General features: G+C 39.0%; 1 protein-coding gene and 1 long non-coding RNA gene across 11 annotated transcripts in view, besides 1 other annotated feature; one reads left to right on the plus strand and one right to left on the minus strand.

Annotated features, from left to right (window-relative positions):
* ELAVL2 (ELAV like RNA binding protein 2) overlaps window positions 1–5,760 on the minus strand; it is a 160,498-nt gene extending 154,738 nt beyond the window's left edge. For 8 of the 9 annotated variants that reach the window (XM_047422916.1, NM_001385694.1, NM_001351466.2 and 5 more), the window contains exons 1-2: window positions 5,444–5,760; window positions 5,066–5,163 (exon numbers count right to left, since the gene is read on the minus strand). In XM_047422916.1, coding sequence (XP_047278872.1) covers window positions 5,066–5,092 — 27 coding nt within the window. In that variant the 5' untranslated portion in view covers window positions 5,093–5,163; window positions 5,444–5,760. Of the gene's footprint in view, window positions 1–5,065; window positions 5,164–5,443 lie in introns of those variants that run through there. The other variant, XM_011517779.4, reaches the window with a different exon arrangement.
* Window positions 6,247–6,296: a silencer, noted in NCBI's record as "silent region_19816". NCBI's record gives its function as "represses an Ori minimal core promoter by ATAC-STARR-seq in GM12878 lymphoblastoid cells {active_cell/tissue: GM12878}" and the evidence as "EXISTENCE:reporter gene assay evidence [ECO:0000049][PMID:35858748]".
* LOC105375993 (uncharacterized) overlaps window positions 6,286–22,414 on the plus strand; it is a 98,517-nt gene continuing 82,388 nt past the window's right edge. For both annotated transcript variants that reach the window (XR_929520.3, XR_929521.3), the window contains exons 1-2: window positions 6,286–6,645; window positions 8,387–8,485. This is a non-coding gene — a long non-coding RNA (uncharacterized LOC105375993). The remainder of the gene's footprint in view (window positions 6,646–8,386; window positions 8,486–22,414) is intronic.

The raw sequence follows: 22,414 nt of genomic DNA on the forward strand, positions 1-22,414 counted from the left end.
TTTACTTTGAACACAAAATGTGATGACTTCATATTCAAAAGGATTTACAGGGATAATTGTGGTGCATAGCTTGAAGGATTCCAGGACCTATGCAGGAACTTTCTTAAGATCCTTTGTTTTTTTCTTACTTTAAACATAGTTCACATTTTTCCTACCAGTTTTCCAAGTGAAATGATCATTTTGTACAGTTATGACAAAACAATAATGGAGAGGTAAAAGAAAATAGACTCCAGAATTTATCCTAAAATACTCCTGGATTTTTAGTTAGTAATAGTTAATATTATTATCATTAGATAAAATTATGTTTTGAGGAGTTAATTATACCATAAATTTAAAACTGAAACAACTAATAACTTTCCCTTTTAGCTTCATATTGCTATAACCATAACTTTTATATGTATAATTACATATATTCATTATTTATATAGACAGATTTGTGCACTTCAATGAATTTGAATGGAAAGAAAAATTGTATAGACGGTTGTATGATTTTAGTACATAATCATGTAATATAAATTTCCACATCAAGGGATGAAACAGAAAATTATATAAACATTTTATTAGCTACTAAAAAAACTTGGCCTGAATTTTATTTAAAATTAGACCAGTAACTAAAATTAGTTTTGAGAGGGGTAAAAATTCAGGGGTTTTTCCAAAATCAAAGTGAAACAGAGTTGAGTGGTTGAATGCTAGAATACTGTGGGTTGAAATGCTCAAGCCTCATAATTCTCCCCTTAATAACCTGGTTCTTAAAATTCCAAAATTATCTGACTTAAAAAAAAAATCTACTAGTACTCTCATAGTAATGAGGTTTAAACATGATTAATTTCGATGGTTTCACTTTATAAAAAATTGAAACTTACAAAATGGATGTATCAATTTTTTTAAGTTATTCACTTAACAAGATCATTAATTCAAATACTATTTTAATGTGTGAGCTCTCTGCATTTAAAAAAAAAGTAAGGCAATTTTTTAAAAAAAAGATTTACACAAAACAACTCAGGAGACCATTTATTGCATAAAGTGCAGATAGAGTTATTCTGAGTGCTATCATTTCTTCTCAGGTGAAAAGTGAAATATTGAGCAGTTTTCTGTTGAATGTCAATGATGTCCTTAAACATTTTTTCATTGTTACTTAAAGAGGCTTGAATGAATTACCTTGATAAAATCTTAACATCTCTACTCCACATCTAAGCTAATAAACCCAAGAATAGGCAATATTTATGTCCCAATCTCTCAAGTCCAAAGATTTTATAAACAAAAAAGATCAAAATTAGAGCATTTTGATGGGAAAGGATGTTTTCTCTGCATTTATTAGAGAGTCTATCATCTTTAATACTTCAAAAGGAATCATATAGTAGGGCCCTATTTAAAACTTTTAATTTTCTATATCACTTACAGGTTTCTTTAGTTCACAAAATGAGGGCAGTTTAAAAAATCCCCCTTAATCACTGTGATTAGAAGTTAATTGATTAAGTATATCAAAGTAAACTCTAGCTTAGAAAATACATATTATCGTAAAAAAATCAAATGATTTGCTACCTATAAAAATCATATAACATTTTATGACATTACCAAATGTAAGTGTAATCAAAATTTTAAAAGTCTTGAAAATGAAAAATTAAATCCCATTTTAGTCATTAAGATTTTTAAAATCACTCTGCTTATTTAAGTTCCCTTTTAAGGAAAATTGGGTACAGTTAGGTCTTCCTCTTATTTAGTAGGTATTTTTGCTATTTATTTTAAAATACTTTTGTCACTATAACTGAGTTAATTTTTCTCTCCTTTTGTTTTTGGAACAGAATTGAGAATATAATAAATTCTCCATAATTAATATCCCAAAAGAGAAATAACCAGACAAACCAGGCTAATGTATCCAAACCCAATGTGGGTACAGTTAAAAATATTTCAGTGAAACTTTTTTCTTCAAAAATGTTGTATTGCAAAAGTGCCAAGATTGACAGGCAATCCCTACCCTCAGAATATGTGGCAATTACATGAGCTTTATATGAAGGCCTTTTAAAATCTAGTATCTTTCTATTATTTGATTGTCATTTTGTTTGATTTTGGATCCAATTTTGGAGTCAGATAGATTTTTGATTCACATCCTCACTTTATGGTTCATAAGCTGTCTTGCCTTAGGTACTCAGTTTCTAGGTGAAATAAAAGCTACCACCTAAAGTGTTTTGAAGATTAACTGAGATACTGCATATAAGGCACTTACATATATGATTAAATCCATGACTGAGTCATAGCAGGTAGACAATACATGTTAACTATTAAAAGTTAACTTCTTTGAGATTTTAGATTGTATATTTGACATAGGATACATACTACATTTAATACCAATTAGAAACAATAAATGAAGATTATTTTTGCATTTTTAAAACTCTAATGTCACTTCAGCCATTCTTTTTTGCCTTTATGCTTGCAGGTACATTGCATGCCCTGGATATGGTACAAAGGACAAAACCTGCAATGTACCCATTAGATAACCTGGCTGCCATCCACCGCCACTTCCTACATCTCACTTTTCTCTTTTATGCATGAATACTTTTTCACTTAAAGTGAGTCACTGTCATTGGAATCAATGACTTTCTATGAGAGTATTGCTTAGTTCACAAAACTTAAGAATTTTGTGCTTATGAACATTATAAGCTTTCTGCTATTTGTAAAACTTATTCTAATAAACTGAGGTTCAAGAAAAATATCGGAACATGACCACTGTATTTCCAATGTGCCAATAACATAAATAGAACACTTATAATTTTGGTATAAAGGCAATTATACTGAAAATAAAAATGTTTGTATTTTGTAGAAAAAAATTGGTAAGTGTACTTTTACATTTTAAATTTGCACATTAAGAATATTTAGCAAACCTAAAATTGGCACAGAATTATGGTGAGGGAAAGTATGAGGAATATATAGCATTAAATATATAGCATTAAAGAGTTTAAATATTTTAAAGGCAGTTAAACTACATGCACTATTAATTATCATTTAGAAGATAATTTTCAATTACCCAGCTTATTTTAAATAATAATTTTTAATGAATTACTTCAACTAAAACAGTATTTTCAGTGTTTAGGTAAAAACTAAGTAAATCTGATGGCTTCTTTGAGATTATGACTATGATTAAAATAACTCTGAATAAAGTTGTTTTTCTCCACATGTCAAAGTAATTTAATTTTACATATATACAGGACATATATTTATTTATAAATATCTATACCTCAGTAGTAGATAATGAATTATTTCTTTGTTTAGCACTGTATACATATAGTTCAAAGTGTTTATTTTAAAACCCCAGGTAGTGTTAGTATAGTTCAGGATTAATTATAAATTTAAATCCTATGATAGTTGAGTAATATGATCTAAAATTAATTATATAGTTAAGAACATTGCTAGCTTACTACCTGTGGTCTATGGATATTAGTGGGTAGAAGAAGGAGATTTCTCAACTGAAATTCTTGCTAATACAAAGACATAAAATACTATATTCTAATCTAAACTCTTCTTTTTTCACAAATGTTACTAAATTGATTCCTCTTGTACCAACAAATTAGTAGTTTAACCATTTTGGTGTTTTAGCTCTCAAATGAAAACTGTTTTAAGGATGGTTATTGCAAACAGCTAGACTAAAATCAATATTGATGACTTTGGAAGCTGACTGCATAAGGTATCACTTTCCTGTGGTAGTTACTGTTGAACTACAGTAACTTCATGTAGAATAGGCAAAAAATAAGTCAGTTGTTAAAAATAAGTTATTAAAATATATGCCCGCTAAAATACATTAAGCTTTATTGCAATACAATCATTTTTTAAGTTATTTTCTGTGTTTCCTATGATCACAGGAAGTTTATAATTTAAAAATCTTTATTTCAGAATAGGTCTTGAGAAATGTAGGCACATGCAATTATATCTACACACATATAAATGAAAATTAAGAATGGACTCAACAAAACAATTCCTTTCAGTGGGTATTTCTGTTTCCATCCCAACCTTCAAATGAGAAAACTTAGATGGCCTTGCCTCATCAGAAAATGGGCAGGTCCATTCCAATTTAGGGCATCCCAGTTCTCTCCATGGCAACAGCCCTGGATAAGCTAAAAGGCAACTGAAAGTTTTTAAGACTACTGAGCACTATTAATCCTTTTTTTAAAAGTGCAAAACAGGCCAAACAATGTAGAATTCTCCAGAGCAAAGGCTGTCTTTTACCAAACTTAGAACTGTTTACATTGTCACAAATACTGTGTTGATACCTATTCTTGGAAAATGAATGAGAAAAAGGGGCAAAACCCGGAAGTCCATCCATGGAATATACCTCCTATTTAAAAACAAAAGGGATTAGGAAAGGATGCTGAAGAAGGACTCTTAAATGAATGAATCTGTAACACTTTAAAAAGTGGGATGAATGGGAAGAGGGAGGAGAGGAGAGGGCAGTGGGAAGGAGGGTTAATAAGCAATTCCTTTCTCCAGCCTCAAACCTTTTAAGACCACAACTTTGCAAATGTATTATTTCATCATCATTTAGTATTTAAAATTTGTCTAAGAATGATGGCTTCAAATGTTGCTACCTGAGGAAGTGTGAGGAAGAATGGTCTAACTGCAGGAGAGGACACAGAGATAGTTGTAGTAGCTGAGGATGACCCCATTGTTTCTTTTCTTCTTCAGGATTTTGATCAGGAGTGACCCGGCTAATGTGCCGAGTTCAGGAAGTCAGAGCTGCAAGGTTCTTTTGAAACCAGACAATAACGTAGTTCCCTTCGCCTCCCTTCCCTGCACCTCTCCCCTGCTTACTGCCAACTCCCACCCACTTTAAATGCATCAAGCCTATTACCATCCCAAGAGTATCAAACATATAAATACAGAACTTGTCCACTGACCATAGTAGAGAGAAAAACAAAATTAGCACTACTGGTTTGTACGGGTTTCTTTTTGTTGTTGTTTAACGACCCCCTCCTCCCAGCCCCCAACCCTTTGTGTGTGAGGATTCCCCTTCAAACCACCCACAGACCGAGCAGACGAGAAGAAATGGTAATTTTCGGTTTAAAAGTTCACTTACCACGGCAACCTCATATTGCTTTGTCATGCTTTTTGCACTTAAATTTTCAAAACTGCTTGTGCTGGGCGCAGAACTGGGAAGGCAGGGCTAAAGTATCTCTAGTAATCACAACAAAAAGGAGAGAACATTCACCAATCAGAATTACATTTAAATATACAATCAAACCCCAGAGCAAGACGCACGGTTCAGAACATACCGGGGAGGGGGTGGGGGTGGAAAAAGCCAAACTAACAAAACAAAAGGTAAAGGGGAGAGTTGAGTGGTTGGAGGGGAAATTGATCCAAGCCGCCTTTTGACCGTGGACTGGCTTAAAACCACCACCACCACCACCCCCCCCGCCCCCAGCACCCCCGCGATTACCCGAGTGACTGCACTTGCCTCCAGCCAGCTCAACTGCAGGAGAGGAAAGCCCCATCTAAGTTCACTAGCCCTGCCACAGTCTTCCACTGCCTGATGGGTTCCTTCAGGAAAACACTTCCAGAGGCATTCATCCACTTGAGGTCTGGGGTTGGCTGCTGCTGCGAGGCTGCTGCAGCCGAGGCTCCCGCGAGCAGCTGCTAGGATCCTTGCCGTCTCGTTCCTGCCTCTTTCGAGCTGCACAATAGCCCCGGCTGGGTGCACCTCATTAAGCCAGCCGAGAGCCCCAGGAGCAGGGCAAGCCGTGTGACAGCGCTACCTCTTTGTAATGACTGTATGATGGATGCAACCGAAGGGTGGGGTCTGGGTGGGTCAACACTGTTAATGACAGTATGTATCATTCTGTCCGTCCTCCAGGAGAGGGGAGGGAAGCCCCCTGCCCTCCCCTCAGGTCTTGGGCTCGCTTTCTCTCTCTCTCTCTCTCTCTCGCTCTCTCTCTCTCTCTCTCTCTCTCTCTCTCCCTCTCTTCCTCTCCCTCTCTCTCCTATCTCTCGTCTCTGTCCCCTGTCACTCGCGCGCACACACACACACACGCACACACACTTTCCTCCCTCTTCCCCCACCTCCCTATGCCATTTTCTGCAGTCAGCGTTCAAAAAAAGTACGAAAACCATCGGGTAATTTCCAACTGAACCGATTACGGACGGCGAATTTATCCAAACACTTAAGCAAGGAGAGGATCCTAAAATCGAAAAACGAAGGCGGAAGGGGCGAGAAGAACGGGGTGGAGTTGGGTGGCGGAGCGAGTGGGACGTTAACTGGCCAATAGTTTGCAACTGCCGGTCAACACGCGCAGCCTACTCAGCGCTGCTCCGGAGGCGCGGGACGCCGCCTCCACGTGAGCCGCGCTCCTCCCAGTGCCCGGGACGGTGTCGGGGGCGGGCTGCACGGCGAGAAGGGCAAAATAAAACCAGCCCGAGAGGCCCTGGCTGGGGTTGAGACTGCAGGAGTAACTTCTGCACCGAGGCAGCGCGCAGCCAGTCGGGGAAGAACTCTGCAACCTGACCGAAAGAAAGTCCGACCCTCTCGGGAGGGCTGCCAGGATGCTGGAGCGAGTGTCAGGGTCCGAGACTCCCAAGTCGGGCGAGGGCTCCTGCCCCTGGCCATTGGGTACCCCCCTCCGACCAACACCCCCGTCCCGCTTCAGAGCGTCGGCCCCACAGGTGCGCAGCGAAGTCACCACGTTGGGGACTAGCCCCCGCCTCTCTCTCTTCCCTTTCTCTCCCGACCCTTCATCCTCTTCACTTCTCACTCCACTCTGAGTCTTGCCTGTGCTGGCCAGGCTGCCCCAGGGAGGCAAAAAAAGAAAAGAAAATATCTCTCCTTTCTCCCCCTTTAAGGGGAGCCTTGGATCTTTGTTTCACTACCACACCACTGACACCATCCCATTGATATTTTTACCCCCTTTCAGTTTTGTTAATGGTCCCAAGAACCCAGTTCCCAGGCACCGGTTTTTCTTCTATAGGAAAGCCTTACAGAATGATTTTTATTGCCCTGTGTGGACAAGTACACTTATTTTACACTCAGCCTCCCGTTTCCAACTTAACTGTGATGCTGTACACTCTTCATGTGGCTACAAAGCACCTTCCAGACATCCTGAGCGATTTCTCTAGAACCGTGCGGATGCTATTTATTTATATTTATTAGAGTTTATGGAGCACCATTTCTCTGACTCTGTGTAATAGACTTCTATGTTTTTATCATTGATGTCTTATAGCAGCTAAGAGAAAGCAAGAAGCATAGAGAAAACAGGGTATTTATGGCAATGAAGCATCTCTCCATTTTTATGTCAGCCATTTATTTATTAATTAGTTAAAATTTGTGTAGGTTGTGCAGCCTGCTCTACGCCGTGGGATAGCACTAAAGATTTTATGCCACTCCTCAAAGAGCTTCTGATCCACGGGGAAGGCAAAATAACCTTCAGCTCTTAATTGCTTCTAACAAAAAACCACTTTTAATTGATGGGAAGGAGAGACCTTGTCAGAAAGCTTTCAGCAAAGTAAAGGAACACTATGGTGTTGACCTCAGTGGTTCTTTCAGGTCATAAACCTGCAAGGCCTCAGAAGTCTCCCCTTCATTTTTTATTTTTATTTTTTGTTGAAGCAATTGCTTTCCCCCCACCACCTTTTTTTTTTTTTTGAGACGGATTCTCACTGTTGCCCAGGCTGGAGTGCAGTGGCCCGATCTCGGCTCACTGCAAGCTCCGCCTCCCGGGTTCACACCATTCTCCTGACTCAGCCTCCCGAGTAGCTGAGATTATAGGTGCCTGCCACCATGCCTGGCTAATTTTTTATGTATTTTTAGTGGAGATGGGGTTTCACTGTGTTAGCCAGGATGGTCTCAATCTCCTGACCTTTGTGATCCACCGGCCTCGGCCTCCCAAAGTGCTGTTATTGCAGGCGTGAGCCACCGCACTGGGCCGCTTTTCCCACCTTTTTACAATTGTATGTTTTGAAGGTAGTACCAGACTTCTGTTCACATATTTCCTAGAATTAAATATAAAGGCAAGGGTAGGGGGCAAGAGAAGGCCAGTGGGAATTAGTGAGAAATCTAAATTAATTGACTAATTAATTAATTTACTAACTGTAACACCAACGTAAGCTTGCCTAAAAGAAGTCATTAGTGATATAACTTAATGAGTAAAAATAAAAATTATAGATAATTATATATGATGTATAATTGTATAAAATTAGCAAAATAATTGTTTTTATGTAAATAGTTCTTTGTAAGGGCATCTGAAAACTGTTCAGACATTTCCTCTTACATTGTTTTAGTAATAAACTTGCATAATGAAAAAGATAAGTATAAAATAGTTGGGAGTTGAGAAAGTTAATTGATTTTGTAGTACGTTATTAATTGTGATCATAACAAAAGTTTATTATTAAAGTTCTCCATTTCTTTAAGACCTAGATGGGCAAGATACCAAATACTTTTCTTGGAATACATCATCTTGATTGAAAACTACTAGGATATTTTTGAAAAAATAGCTCATTAGCTGGCTGGGTAAGTTTGTTTGTTTACAATGGACTTTTCAATGATGGTGGTAGGCATCCTGGAAGATAGCCACTGTACTAAGTTCATTTTTCTCTGTTCTTGGCTGCTCCTCTAACCTTGAACTTTATTTAGTCAGGGAAAATGGAAGGAATGGGAATGCTAACTAATGGAAGAAAGATATTTTCTTTGACCTTTGAAAAACAGACTTAAGTAATTGAACCATAAATTTAGAAACCGGGCTTTTAACAAATGAAAATTTTAAGATGTATAAAAACAGCTCCCATAAGTATATGCACCAAATGTATTAACCTTGTGATATATAAGATTGCACCTAGGAAAAGTTAACACCGTTGGAGATTATTAAGACTTACCAACTCATTCAGCTTTAATAAGCAGAACTTGAGCCAAGTGCGGAACACACTTGTACCAAATTGGCAAGAATTATACACTTAAATGTAAATACATTTTTTTCTGCGAGGTAAAGCTATTAAGCCCCCCAAAACACCTTAGATATATTTTTTGAAAACTGTCCTGCAAAAATGTTTGTCCTACCAAAAGTTTCTAGCCTATTTCACAATAACCTATATGACAGTTAGTACGACTTGGAAAAGATGTTTAATATCTGAACAAGGTAATATGTTCTATTTCCTATTTTTGTTAATGGGATTGTAGATGTGATGTATTTCAGGCTCTGTGTTATCTATGGCAGGAAAAAATTGAGGGCAAAAGAGTTTCTTTGGCATACATCAAGAACTACATTGTAATCAATACAAGCAAACCAAGTCTGGAAAATATATAAGCAAGGTATTAAATAAGTAATTCACTGTCTATAAATCTCCTACCAGTGGGTGAATGTTGAGAGTCATATAAGGGCTTCAGTGACTAATGGAATACAGTTGCTCATCCCAAGCAACCTTGGCTATCCTTTTAGAAACTTCTCAACAAGTTCTGCTGCATGTAAGAACAAGATCATGTCTAAGAATCCAGTAAGGATTTTAAAGATTGTCTTGCATGCTACCTTTGAAAAGCAAGTTCAGTACTCAGTTTTTCAGAAAGCATTTATTTGCATGCTGTTAAGATTTCTTTACCCAAGTTAGACAGTGGAGTTTCTAAAGTCATATAGAAATTGGTTCCGATGCTTATAAACTGGGTGACTTGTACAATTCTCTTAATTACTCTGGATCATACTTCCTTCTTTAGTAAAATTAAAAGAACAAGGACCAACTCCTACAGTTGTGATGATTTAATGATACAAAGTGTAAAAACATGCTGCCTAGTAAAATGTCAGTCCTATTGAAACAGACATTGTAATTTGCCTCACTCAACATGAATTCTTAACCTCCACCCTCCTTGTCTTACTCTAACTTAGAGACTGGAAATTTCAATATTTCATTTCCCAGTTTTCTTTGCATCTAGTAGTGGCTGTTTGACATAGTTATGGCAAACTAAATGTAAATACGGCTGGGCGCCGTGGCTCACGCCTGTAATCCCAGCATTTTGGGAGGCTGAGGCAAGCAGATCACCTGAGGTCGGAAGTTCAAGACCAGCCTGGCCAACATGGCAAAAACCCATCTCTACTAAAAAATACAAAAATTAACCAGGCACAGTGGCACATACCTGTAATCCCAACTACTCAGGAGGCTGAGACAGGAGAATCACCTGAACCCAGGAGGCAGAGGTTGTAGTGACCCGAGATCACGCCTCTGCACCCCAGCCTGGACGACAGCATGAGACTCTGTCTCAAAGAAAGAAAAAATGTAAATACATATTGGCTGAGAAACCTTCTGAAAATGCTTTTGTTTTCCTGATGAAAGACTAATAGTGACCACTGCCACAACTTTTTGCCCCATTTGTCCTACCTGCTTCTTCCTATGTGGTATATGTGATTTCTGGAGCTAGAGCAGCCATCTTGCAGTTATGAACCACTTGAAGACCAATCTCTGAAAGATGGTGAAGGAAGATAGGAAGAACCCGGGTTTCTGATAGGAAACTTGACTTGCTCAATTAGTCCTGGACTGTTGACTTTTAGACATCTTGTTGTATATGAAAAAATAAACTGCTCTTTAGTTAAGCCATATTTAGCTGAATGTTCTGAATATTATGATACTGAAATATCTGCCACGATTGTTGTGGTTTTCTGCTTTTAAATAAAATCTGCCTTGATTATATGACTCTGAATGTCAGCCATGTTGAAGAATTTCAGGTAAAAAACTTTTCTGAGACTCCACCCATGCACCTATGACTAGGTCACCGTTTTGGGTTTGGATGATCTGCTCAAAGTATTGAACCTGGAGTGGGTTTGTAAGGACCTTTTTTTTTTTTTAAAGTCCCACAACTGACAATTCTTTTTGGGGAAGCCCCATCATTGTACTAAAAGAGACAGAATCTAACATTTATATTGTCTAAATACCTTTTCTCTTTCCTTTCATAATGTATTGTTGCTTTTGTTTTCAAATAAACATACTGGGATGTGTTTATTTTTGAATATGTTTATATTGAAATATTCAGAATATTCACTTTGGAAAACGATAAATACTTATTTAATTGATGATCCTAGTTTGCTGCCATAGCTCCACACATTTTTTTTTTTAATACAAGGTCTTGCTCTGTTGTTCAAACTAGAGTGCAACGGTGCGATCATAGCTCACTGTAACTCCAGACTCCCAGCCTCAATCTATCGTCTATTCTCAGCCTCCCAAACTGCTGGGATTATAGGCATGACCCGACCCACCATGAGTGGTTTCTACATAATTTAAAATGTCCTCTTTAGGAGTCATGTTTACAATGTGAGTCACAATTCAGGAGAATGTCAGCAATGTGACAATAGTATGTTCTCTGAAGGTTGGATTTAATCTAGGAAAATACCTAAAATGTTGTTCAGAATCAAATCAAGTAAATTAAGTGAGGAATCACTTAAAAACTGGATAATACAGGATTTTTCATTGCTGTTACAAAAAAACTAGGTATATACACAAAATAATAAGATCTAAAACATGTCTAAAATGTGTTATAGCAAGGAAGGCATCCTTCACATAAGCATCTATCTTCCTAAGGGACAGCTTTGGAGGCCCACACACTTGGTCACATGTGTTAGCTAAACACGTCAGTCTCATAGCTATTTTCAGTTGTAATTTCTTTGAATAAGCCAGATGTTTCCTTTTCACCTTTCCCCTTCCATTCTGTCATAAATTTCTTATTCTGAAACAGACTCAGTGTTCAATTGATTCAAAGCTATTTTTGTAGTACCATCACTTTAGTTGATTAAAAAAAAAATGTACAAGTAGCAAGACAGAACAGTGCCACGGATACGATATTAAGACTTTGAATCAAACTGAATTTTATTTGAGCTCCAAACTTACTTCTTACTAGCTGTGTGATTTGAGCGGTTATTTAATCATTTCAGTCTGTTTTTTATCTGTAAAATGAAGATAAAAATAGTGTGTATCTTAGAGAGTTGTCATGAATATTAAATAGGATAATAAATATGGGGTTTGTGTATAATGCTGTGTATGTAGTAAGTGATTAATAAGCATTACTTATGATAAAACCATGTTAGGCAAATAGCAAGGTCTTTGAAATACTTAAAATGTAAAGAATATTAGACCATTTATAGGCGTTGCTACCAGTAACTGCAAGTCTAAAAATAATTCAGCTAATTATGAGTTAATCATGGATAGTTAACATAGGCTGATCCGGATATTTATCTATCATTTTGTTTGATGCAGTAGAAAAAATTTGGTCCTTTAAAATAAATAGGCCTAATTCCAGTGTGTGATAATAGGTAAATCTCTGCCTATCTAAGTCTCATTTTCCACAGTATAATGTAACTAAGGACCGTTTTCCCAGGGAAATGTTCTTAAAAAATAGGTAAGAACCTGGTAATTACTTCTCTCTCTCTCTCTTGCTAGTAAAGAATAGAAACCCGGATGTATTTTCTAAGAACCAGGAAATCACAATTAACTTTGAGTTTACAAAAGATCTCCAGAGATATTTCATTACTTGGAGAACTAAGATCAGAGTAGAAGGTAGATTACTATTGATTTAGGTCATATATGTTTATGATGTATCAACCAGATGATTAAACAAAAAATTAGTATTTTGGTGCAAGTTACTCAACTCCTCTGAGCCTGTTACTTCATCTATGCAATGAGTAAGTAGACTATGAATGTAGCTTTCAGTTGTTCAATTATTTCTAGTTAATTTGTTTCTAGTTAATTTTAACAAAATATAAAAGACAATTTTCTCATTTGATTCAACAATACCTTCCCCTTACTGGCCTAATTGTATTAATCATGGAGGGGGATAGAATGTAGGCATGGGGAGAGATGAAATAAAATCATTCAGTGGTTTCTGATTGATTAGAGTTGATTATGTGTTTAAGGTAGAATATTAAAAAGAATATTTTTTTCAGGAAAAAGGGAAAGTCAAAGTCCTCTAAAAAGTATTTAGATTTTTAAAATTTCATATTTTACTAGGAGAGAAATATATCATGAATAATATATGTTAAGCTATGCCAGAAATAAAGTTAACCTAGAAATAAAATTATGTATGTTAGTTTTTTTCTTTTTGTAAGAGACAGGGTCTCTGTTGCCCAGGCTGGAGTGCACTGGTGAAATCACAGCCCACTATAGCTTTGACTTCCTGGGCTCAGCTAATCCTCCCACCTCAGCCTCCCAAGTAGCATGCCACCATACCTGGATAATTGTTTTTAATTTTTTTGTAGAGAAATACAAAAGTGCTCATCCTCCTGCCTCATCCTCCCAAAGTTCTGGGATTACAGGTGTGAGCCATGGAACACAGCCTTATATGTTAAAGTTTAATTTAATCTTTTTACATACAGTAGAAGAGTCTATTGTAGAGCAATGGTTCTCAAAGTGTGATCCACAGCTGGCACCATTGTCACCTGGGAAATTGTTAGAAATGCACATTACTGGGCTTCATCCAAGACTTACTGAATAAGAAACTCAGGTGGACCCATCAACCTATGTTTTATCAATAGCAAGACCTTCAGGTTATACTGATGCAAGCTAAGATTTGAAAACCACTGCTGTAGGCTTCAGCAAAGGAGTACGTCTTTTGTAATTGAGATTGCAGTTTCTCCCATCCAGAGAAGGAGTCTCTATCTGCATTCCTGGAATCTGGCCTCGTTTTGTAAAGTGCTTTGACCAACAGAATGTTGTAGTGGTAATGACATGCCAGTCTGGAACCTTGGCCTCAAGAGTCCTTCACTTTTCCTCTCCCTTGGTACCCTGGTACCACCATGTAAATGGTCCTAAAGTAGCCTGGTAAAACATGAGAGATCATACGGAGAAGAGTCCAGTTGTCCTAGCTGCAGCCAACCAAACCAGCCTAGAGCTAGCCAATTCCTAAACATGTGAGACAGCCCAGCCAAATCAGGAGAGCTGACCCATAGGCCCATGAGCAATAGTAAATGTTTATTGATTTAAGCCACTGGTGCAGTTGATATTGGAACCTATATCCTTTTGGTTCCAAAGTCCCTGTTACTACTCTCCCACACTGAGGAACTGGGAGGACTATAAATACCTTTCAATGTAAACCTCTTATTTCTCAGGTAATGAAACCAAAGAAGTGTAGTAATAACTTGTCTAAACTCATTTACAATGTGAAGTTTTCAATCTTTGTAATGCCAAATTCTCACCTCTGATTATGAAAATGGAGACCCTGAGCAACAATGTCAGAGTTGTTTTGACCTGGGTAGATAATTTTCATTTTTAAATGAGTGTAATAGGTGATTCTGCTCCAGATGGGTCATAAATTATCCCGGAATGTCTAAGTCAAATTAGTTGTGGAGCCAGGGCTCAAAATCTGGTCTTCTGATTCCCAGTGAGGCTAGCTTTAAACTACACCAATGATTTCATCAGGGTAGGTAGATGGATTCCCTCTGGTGATGCAGGATTGGCAGGAGGTGGCATGTAACAGAATCACCCTAAGGAGCTTTTTCAAACCACCCCTTCATTGTCCGAGAACCCCTTTCAAAGTCCCCTCAAATGGGAACCCTTGCTATGGTAAACTACTATTACTGATGGGTTTATGTTATCTTCTCCAGCCTTCAGGTATTCAGGGGTTAAAAACAAGAGCAGTCCGGCCAGGTGTGGTGGCTCACGCCTGTAATCCCAGTACTTTGGGAAGCGGAGGCAGGCAGATCATGAGGTCAGGAGATCGAGACCATCCTGGCTAACACGGTGAAACCCCATCTCTACTAAAAATACAAAAAATTAGCCGGGCGTGGTGGCGGGCCCCTGTAGTCCCAGCTACTCGGGAGGCTGAGGCAAGAGAATGGCGTGAACCCAGGAGGCGGAGCTTGCAGTAAGCGGAGATCGCGCCACTGCACTCCAGCCTGGGCGACACAGTGAGATTCCGTCTCAAACAAACAGACAAAAAACCAAGAGCAGCCCAAGGAAGGTTGAGAAGTTACTTCTGTACTGAGTGGTGCTTCCTCAATTTGTTTATCTGGATAAATTTACTCTCACCCAGTATTATCTAATAAATAAAGGCTTCAGTGAGAATGGGACTCAGAAGTATTATGTTTTGACAACAGTAATTATATAATGACTAGCTTGGATCCTGCTTATATAGCTTTATACCATTCCCTAATGGGGCATTTAACTGCAACCCTACATTTAGATGACACCTATCTCTGGGTAATAACAATATATGAATCTTTATGTTGGAAGTTTTCAGCCTAGCATTGACTCAGCCTAAAGGTTTTTCTGCTTTGACCATAATTTTCTGGTGTGCAGTCTCCTGCCTTTTTCTCCTTTTGGTTTGCTAATGAGTATTTGATTCGTGTACATTAACCTACTGGTATCCCCATGCACAGATATTATTCATCACCTGTCCTACAGCTCAATACTGCCTTTCAGTTTATCTGATATTAAACCACCATCTATATGTCTGGATATCTGCTAATTTTTTGCTACAGGATTTACTTGCCAGCTGTGTTTGTATCTAGTCTGCTCCTCTTCCTTTCCCCCCGACATCCTTCCCACTCACCAGGAAAAAAGATTGAAACCTTCCCTGGAATGTTCTATCCTTTGGATAATGAACCTCTTGCCCTCTTGCATGGTTTCTATGTTCAGACATCCTGTCTTTATTGTATACTATAGGCTGTCTCATTGTGGCTGTCACCCACACCACTGAGGCCTCAGAAATGAATGGCAACAGATGGGAAATGATGGAAACATGGCCATGTGCATGGTCCTTGGAAGACAGGGCAATGCAGGTATCCTGAGGGCAGCGGCTTTTTCAGTTTTGGAATTCTATGGCTTTTTTTTTCTTTTTTAAAATTGCACTTTAAGTTCTGGGATACATGTGCAGAACGTACAGGTTTGTTACATAGGTATACACGTGCCATGGTGGTTTGCTGCACCCATCAACCCATCATCTGATTTAGGTATTTCTCCTAATGCTATCCCTCCCCTGACCTCCCAACCCCTGACAGGCCCTGGTGTGTGTTGTTCCCCTCCCTGTGTCCATGTGTTCTCATTGTTCAACTCCCACTTATGAGTGAGAACATGCGTTGCTTGGTTTTCTGTTCCTGTGTTAGTTTGCTGAGAATGATGATTTCCAGCTTCATCCATGTCCCTACAAAGGACATGAACTCATCCTTTTTTTATGGCTGCATAGTATTCCATGGTGTATATGTGCCACATTTTCTTTATCCAGTCTATCATTGATAGGCATTTGGGTGGGTTCCAAGTCTATGCTTTTGTGAATAGTGCTGCAATAAACATTTGTGTGCATGTGTCTTTCTAGTAGAATGATTTATAATCCTTTGGGTATATACCCAGTAATGGGATTGCTGGGTCAAATGGTATTTCTGGTTCTAGATCCTTGAGGAATTGACACACTGTTGTCCACAATGGTTGAACTAATTTACACTCTCACCAACACTGTAAAAGAATTCCTGTTTCTCCACATCCTCTCCAGCATCTGTTGTTTCCTGACTTTTTAATGATTGTCATCTAACTGGCATGAGATGGTATCTCACTGTGGTTTTGATTTGCATTTCTCTAATGACCAGCGATAATGAGCTTTTTATCATGTGTTTATTGGCCGCATAAATGTCTTTTGAGAAGTGTCTGTTCATATCCTTTGCCCACTTTTTGATGGGGTTGTTTTTTTCTTGTGAATTTGTTGAAGTGCCTTGTAGATTCTGGATATTAGCCCTTTGTCAGATGGAGAGATTGCAAAAATTTTCTCCCATTCTGTAGGTTGCCTGTTCACTCTGATGATAGTTGCTTTTGCTGTGTGGAAGCTCTTTAGTTTAATTAGATCTCATTTGTCAATTTTGGCTTTTGTTCCCATTGCTTTTGGTGTTTTAGTCATGAAGCCTTTGCCCATGCCTATGTTGTGAATGGCATTGCCTAGGTTTTCTTCTAGGGTTTTTATGGTTTTAGGTCTTACATTTAAGTTTTTAATCCATCTTGAGTTAATTTGTCTGTAAGGTGTAAGGAAGGAGTTCAGTTTTTGTTTTCTGCATATGGCTAGCCAGTTTTCCCGACACCATTTATTAAATATGGAATCCTTTCCCCATTGATGGTTTTTGTCAGGTTTGTCAAAGATCAACTGGTTGTCGATGTGTGGTGTTATTTCTGAGGACTCTGTTCTGTTCCACTGGTGTATATAGCTGTTTTGGTACCAGTATCATGCTGTTTTGGTTACTGTAGCCTTGTAGTATAGCTTGAAGTCAGGTAGCATGATGCCTCCAGCTTTGTTCTTTTTGCTTAGAATTGTCATGGCTATATGGCTCTTTTTTGATTCCATTTGAAATTTAAAGTAGTTTTTTCTAATTCTGGGGAGAAAGTCATTGGTAGCTTGATGGGGATAGCATTGAATCTATAAATTATTTTGGGCAGTATGGCCATTTTCACCATATTGATTCTTCCTATCCATGAGCATGGAATGTTTTTTCATTTCTTTGTGTCCTTTCTTATTTGCTTGAGCAGTGGTTTGTAGTTCTCCTTGAAGAGGTCCATCACATCCCTTGTAAGTTTTATTCCTAGGTATTGTATTCTCTTTGTAGCAATTGTGAATGGGAGTTCACTCATGATTTGGCTCTCTGTTTGTGTGTTATTGGTGTATAGGAATGCTTGTGATTTTTGCACATTGATTTTGTGTCCTGAGAATTTGCTGAAGTTGTTTATCAGCTTAAGGAGATTTTTGGCTGAGATGATGGGGCTTTCTAAATATACAATCACGTCATCTGCATATAGAGACAATTTGACTTCCTCTCTTCCTATATGAATACGCTTTATTTCTTTCTCTTGCCTGATTGCCCTGGCTAGAACTTCCTATACTTTGTTGAATAGGAGTGGTGAGAGAGGGCATCCTTGTCTTGTGCCGGTTTTCAAAGGGAATTCTTCCAGTTTTTGCCCATTCAGTAAGATATTGGCTGTGGGTTTGTCATAAATAGCTCTTATTATTTTGAGATACGTTGTATCAGTACCTAGTTTATTGAGAGTTTTTAGCATGAAGGGTTGTTGAATTTTATCGAAGACCTTTTCTGCATCTATTGAGATAATCATGTGGTTTTGTCGTTGGTTCTGTTTATGTGATGGATTATGTTTATTGATTTTCATATGTTGAACCAGCCTTGCATCCCAGGGATGAAGCCCACTTGATCGTGGTGGATAACCTTTTTGATATGCTGCTGGATTTGGTTTGCCAGTATTTTTTGAGGATTTTTGCATCAATATTCATCAAGGATATTGGCCTGAAATTTTCTTTTTTTGCTGTGTCTCTGCCAGGCTTTGGTATCAGAATGACGCTGGCCTCATAAAATGAGTTAGGGAGGAGTCCCTCTTTTTCTGTTGATTGGAATAGTTTCAGAAGGAATGGTACCAGCTCCTCTTTGTACCTCTGATAGAATTCAGCTGTGAGTCCGTCTGGTCCTGGGCTGTTTTTGGTTGGTAGGCTATTAATTACTGCCTCAATTTCAGAACTTGTTATTGTTCTGTTCAGGGATTTGACTTCTTCCTGGCTTAGTCTTGGGAAGGTGTGTATGTCCAAGAATTTATTCATTTCTTCTAGATTTTTGTAGTTTATTTGCATAGAGGTGTTTACAGTATTCTCTGATGGTAGTTTGAACTTCTGTGGAATCAGTGGTGATATCCCCTTTATCACTTTTTTTATTGTGTCTATTTGTTTCATCTCTCCTTTCTTCATTAGTCTGGCTAGCAGTCTATCTATTTTGTTAACCTTTCCAAAAAATCAGCTCCTGGATTCATTGATTTGTTTTTTGAAGGGTTTTTCGTGTCTCTACCTCCTCCATTTCTGCTCTGATCTTAGTTACGTCTTGTCTTCTGCTAGCTTTTGAATTTGTTTGCTCTTGCTTTTCTAGTTCTTTCAATTGTGATGTTAGGGTGTCAATTTTAGATCTTTCACACTTTCTCCTCTGGGAATTTAATGCTATAAATTTCCCTCTAAACACTGCATTAGCTGTGTCCCAGAGATTCCGGTACATTTTGTCTTTGTTGTCATTGGTTTCAAAGAACTTATTATTTCTGCCTTAATTTCTTTATTTATCCAGTAGTCATTTAGGAGCAGGTTGTTCTGTTTCCACATGGTTGTGCAGTTTTGAGTGAGTTTCATAATTCTGAGTGCTAATTCGATTGCACTGTGGTCTGAGAGACTGTTTGATATGATTTCCATTGTTTGGCATTTGCTGAGGAGTGTTTTACTTCCAATTATGCAGTCAATTTTAGAATAAGTGCTATGTGGTACTGAGAAGAATGTATATTCTGTTTATTTGGGGTGGAGAGTTCTGTAGATGTCTATTAGGTCTACTTTGTCCAGAGCTGAGTTCAACTCCTGAATATCCTTGTTAATTTTCTGTCTCGTTGATCTGTCTAATATTGACAGTAGGGTGTTAAAGTCTCCCACTATTATTGTGTGGGAGTCTAAGTCTCTTTGTAGGTCTCTAAGAACTTGCTTTATGAATCTGGTTGCTCCTGTATTTGGTTCATATATATTTAGGATAGTTAGCTCTTCTTGTTGCATTTATTTCTTTACCATTATGTAATGCCCTCCTTTGTCTTTTTTGATCTTTGTTAATTTAAAGTCTGTTTTATCAGAGACTAGGATTGCAACCCCTGCTTTTTATTTCCTTTCCATTTGCTTGATAAATACTGCTCCATCCTTTTATTTTAAGCCTATGTGTGTCTTTGCATGTGAGATAGGTCTCCTGAATACAGCATATTGGGTCCTGACTCTTTATCCAATTTTCCAGTCTGTGTGTTTTAATTGGGGCATTTAGCACATTTATATTTAAGGTTAATATTGTTATGTGTGAATTTGATCCTGTCATTATGATGCTTGCTGGTTACTTTGCCTGTTAGTTGATGCAGTTTTTTAATAGTGTTGATGGTCTTTACAATTTGTCACGTTTTTGCAGTGGCTGGAACAGGTTTTTCCTTTCCATATTTAGTGCTTCCTTCAGGAGCTCTTGTAAGGCAGGCCTGGTGGTGACAAAATCTCTCAGCATTTGCTTGTCTGTAAAGGATTTTATTTCTCCTTTGCTTATGAAGATTAGTTTGGCTGGATATGAAATTTTGGGTTGAAAATTCATTTTTTTAAGATTGTTGAATGTTGGCCCCCACTCACTTCTGGCTTGTAGGGTTTCTGCAGAGAGATCCGCCGTTAGTCTGATGGGCTTCATTTTGTGGGTAACCAGACCTTTCTTTCTGGCTGCCCTTAACATTTTTTCCTTCATTTCAACCTTGGTGAATCTGACAATTATGTGTCTTGGGGTTGCTGTTCTCAAGGAGTATCTTTGTGGTGTTCTCTGTATTTCCTGAATTTGAATGTTGGCCTGTTTTGCTGGGTTGGGGAAATTCTCCTGGATAATATCCTGAAGAGTGTTTTCCACCTTGGTTCCATTCTCCCCATCACTTTCAGGTACACCAATCAAACGCAGGTTTGGTCTTTTCACATAGTCCCATATTTCTTGGAGGTTTTGTTCATTGTTTTTATTCTTTTTTCTCTAATCTTGTCTTCACGCTTTATTTCATTAACTTAATCTACAGTCTCTGATATCCTTTCTTCCACTTGATCGATTTGCCTATTGATACTTGGGTATGCTTCACGAAGTTCTCATGCTTTCTTTTTCAGCTCCATCAGGTCATTTATGTTCTTCTCTAAACTGGTTATTCTAGTTAGCAATTAGTCTAACCTTTTATCAAGGTGCTTAGCTTCCTTACATTGGGTTATAACAAGCTGCTTTAGCTCAAAGGAGTTTGTTATTACCCACCTTCTGAAGCCTATTTCTGTCAGTTCATCAAACTCATTCTCCATCCAGTTTTGTTCCCTTCCTGGCAAGAAATTGTGATCCTTTGGAGAAGAGGCAGTCTGGTTTTTGGAATTTTCAGCCTTTTTGCACTGGTTTTTCCTCATCTTCGTGAATTTATCTACCTTTGGTCTTTGATGTTGGTGACCTTTGGATGGGGTTTTTGTGTGGACGTCCTTTTCGTTGATGTTGATGATATCACTTTCTGTGGGTTTTCCTTTTAACAGTCACGCCCCTCTGCTGTAGGTCTGCTGGAGTTTGCTGGAGGTCCACTTCAGACCCCGTTTGCCTGGGTATCACCAGTGGAGGCTGCAGAACAGCAAAGATTGCTGCCTGTTCCTTCCTCGGGAAGTTTTGTCCCAGAGGGGCACCTGCCAGATGCCAGCCAGAGTTCTCCTATATGAGTTGTCTGTCAACCCCTGCTGGGAGGTGTCTCCCAGTCAGGGGGCATGGGGGTCAGGGACCCACTTGAGGGGGCAGTCTCTCCCTTAGCAGAGCTCAAGTGCTTTGCTGAAAGATCCGCTGCTCTCTTCAGAGCTGCAGGCAGGAACATGTAAGTCTGCTAAAGTTGCGTCCACAGCCGCCCGTTCCCCCAGGTGCTCTGTCCCAGGGAGATGGGAGTTTTATCTGTAAGCCCCTGACTGAGGCTGCTGCGTTTCTGTCAGAGATACCCTGCCCAGAGAGGAGGAATCTAGAGAGGCAGTCTGACTACAGCAGATTTGCAGAGCGGCGGTGGGCTCAGCCCAGTTTCAACTTCCCAGTGACTTTGTTTACGCTGTGAGGGGAAAACTGCCTACTCAAGCCTTAGTAATGGTGGACACCCTTACCCCCATCAAGCTCCAGCATCTCCAGTCAATTTTAGACTGCTGTGCTGGGTAAACGAATTTTAAGCCAGTGGATCTTAGCTTGCTGGGCTCCATGGGGGTGGGATCCGCTGAGCTAGACCACTTGGTTCCCTGTATTCAGCCCCCTCTGCATGGCAGTGAAGGGTTGTGTCATTGGCATTCCAGGCACCACTGGGGTATGAAAAAAAAACTCCTGCAGCTAGCTCAGTGTCTGCCCAAACAGCCGCCCAATTTTTTCCTTGAAACCCAGTACCCTGTTGGTGTAGGCACCTGAGGGAATCTCCTGGTCTGTGGGTTGTGAAGGCTATGGGGAAAGTATAGTATGTGGGCCAGAATGCACCATTCCTCACGGCACAGTCCCTCATGGCTTCCCATGGCTAGCCAGTTCCCTGACCCCCTGTGCTTCACAGGTGAGGCAATGCCCCACCCTGCTTTGGCTTACCCTCTGTGGGCTACACTCACTGTCTAACCAGTCCCAATGAGATGAGCCGGGTTCCTCAGTTGGAACTGCAGAAATCACCTGCCTTCTGCATTGATATGGCTGGGAGCTGCAGACTGGAACTATTCCTATTCAGCCATCTTGCCATAGAATTCTGTGGTTTCTATGAAGCAAAGCTACCCAGAAGGAGCAGTAAGGTGTTGACAGGGAACAAGTGGCCCAAGACAGCAACTTTAAGTTTTTCCTAAGCGATACCCTGTATTTATGCACATCCAGAAACATGGTCCAAGGAGGAACACTGTGCCTCGTTTTAACCTTTACTGTATTGTCTATTGCTGATCTAACAA

Source organism: Homo sapiens, chromosome 9 (genome assembly GCF_000001405.40).
Source record: "Homo sapiens chromosome 9, GRCh38.p14 Primary Assembly".
Classification (NCBI taxonomy): domain Eukaryota; kingdom Metazoa; phylum Chordata; class Mammalia; order Primates; family Hominidae; genus Homo; species Homo sapiens.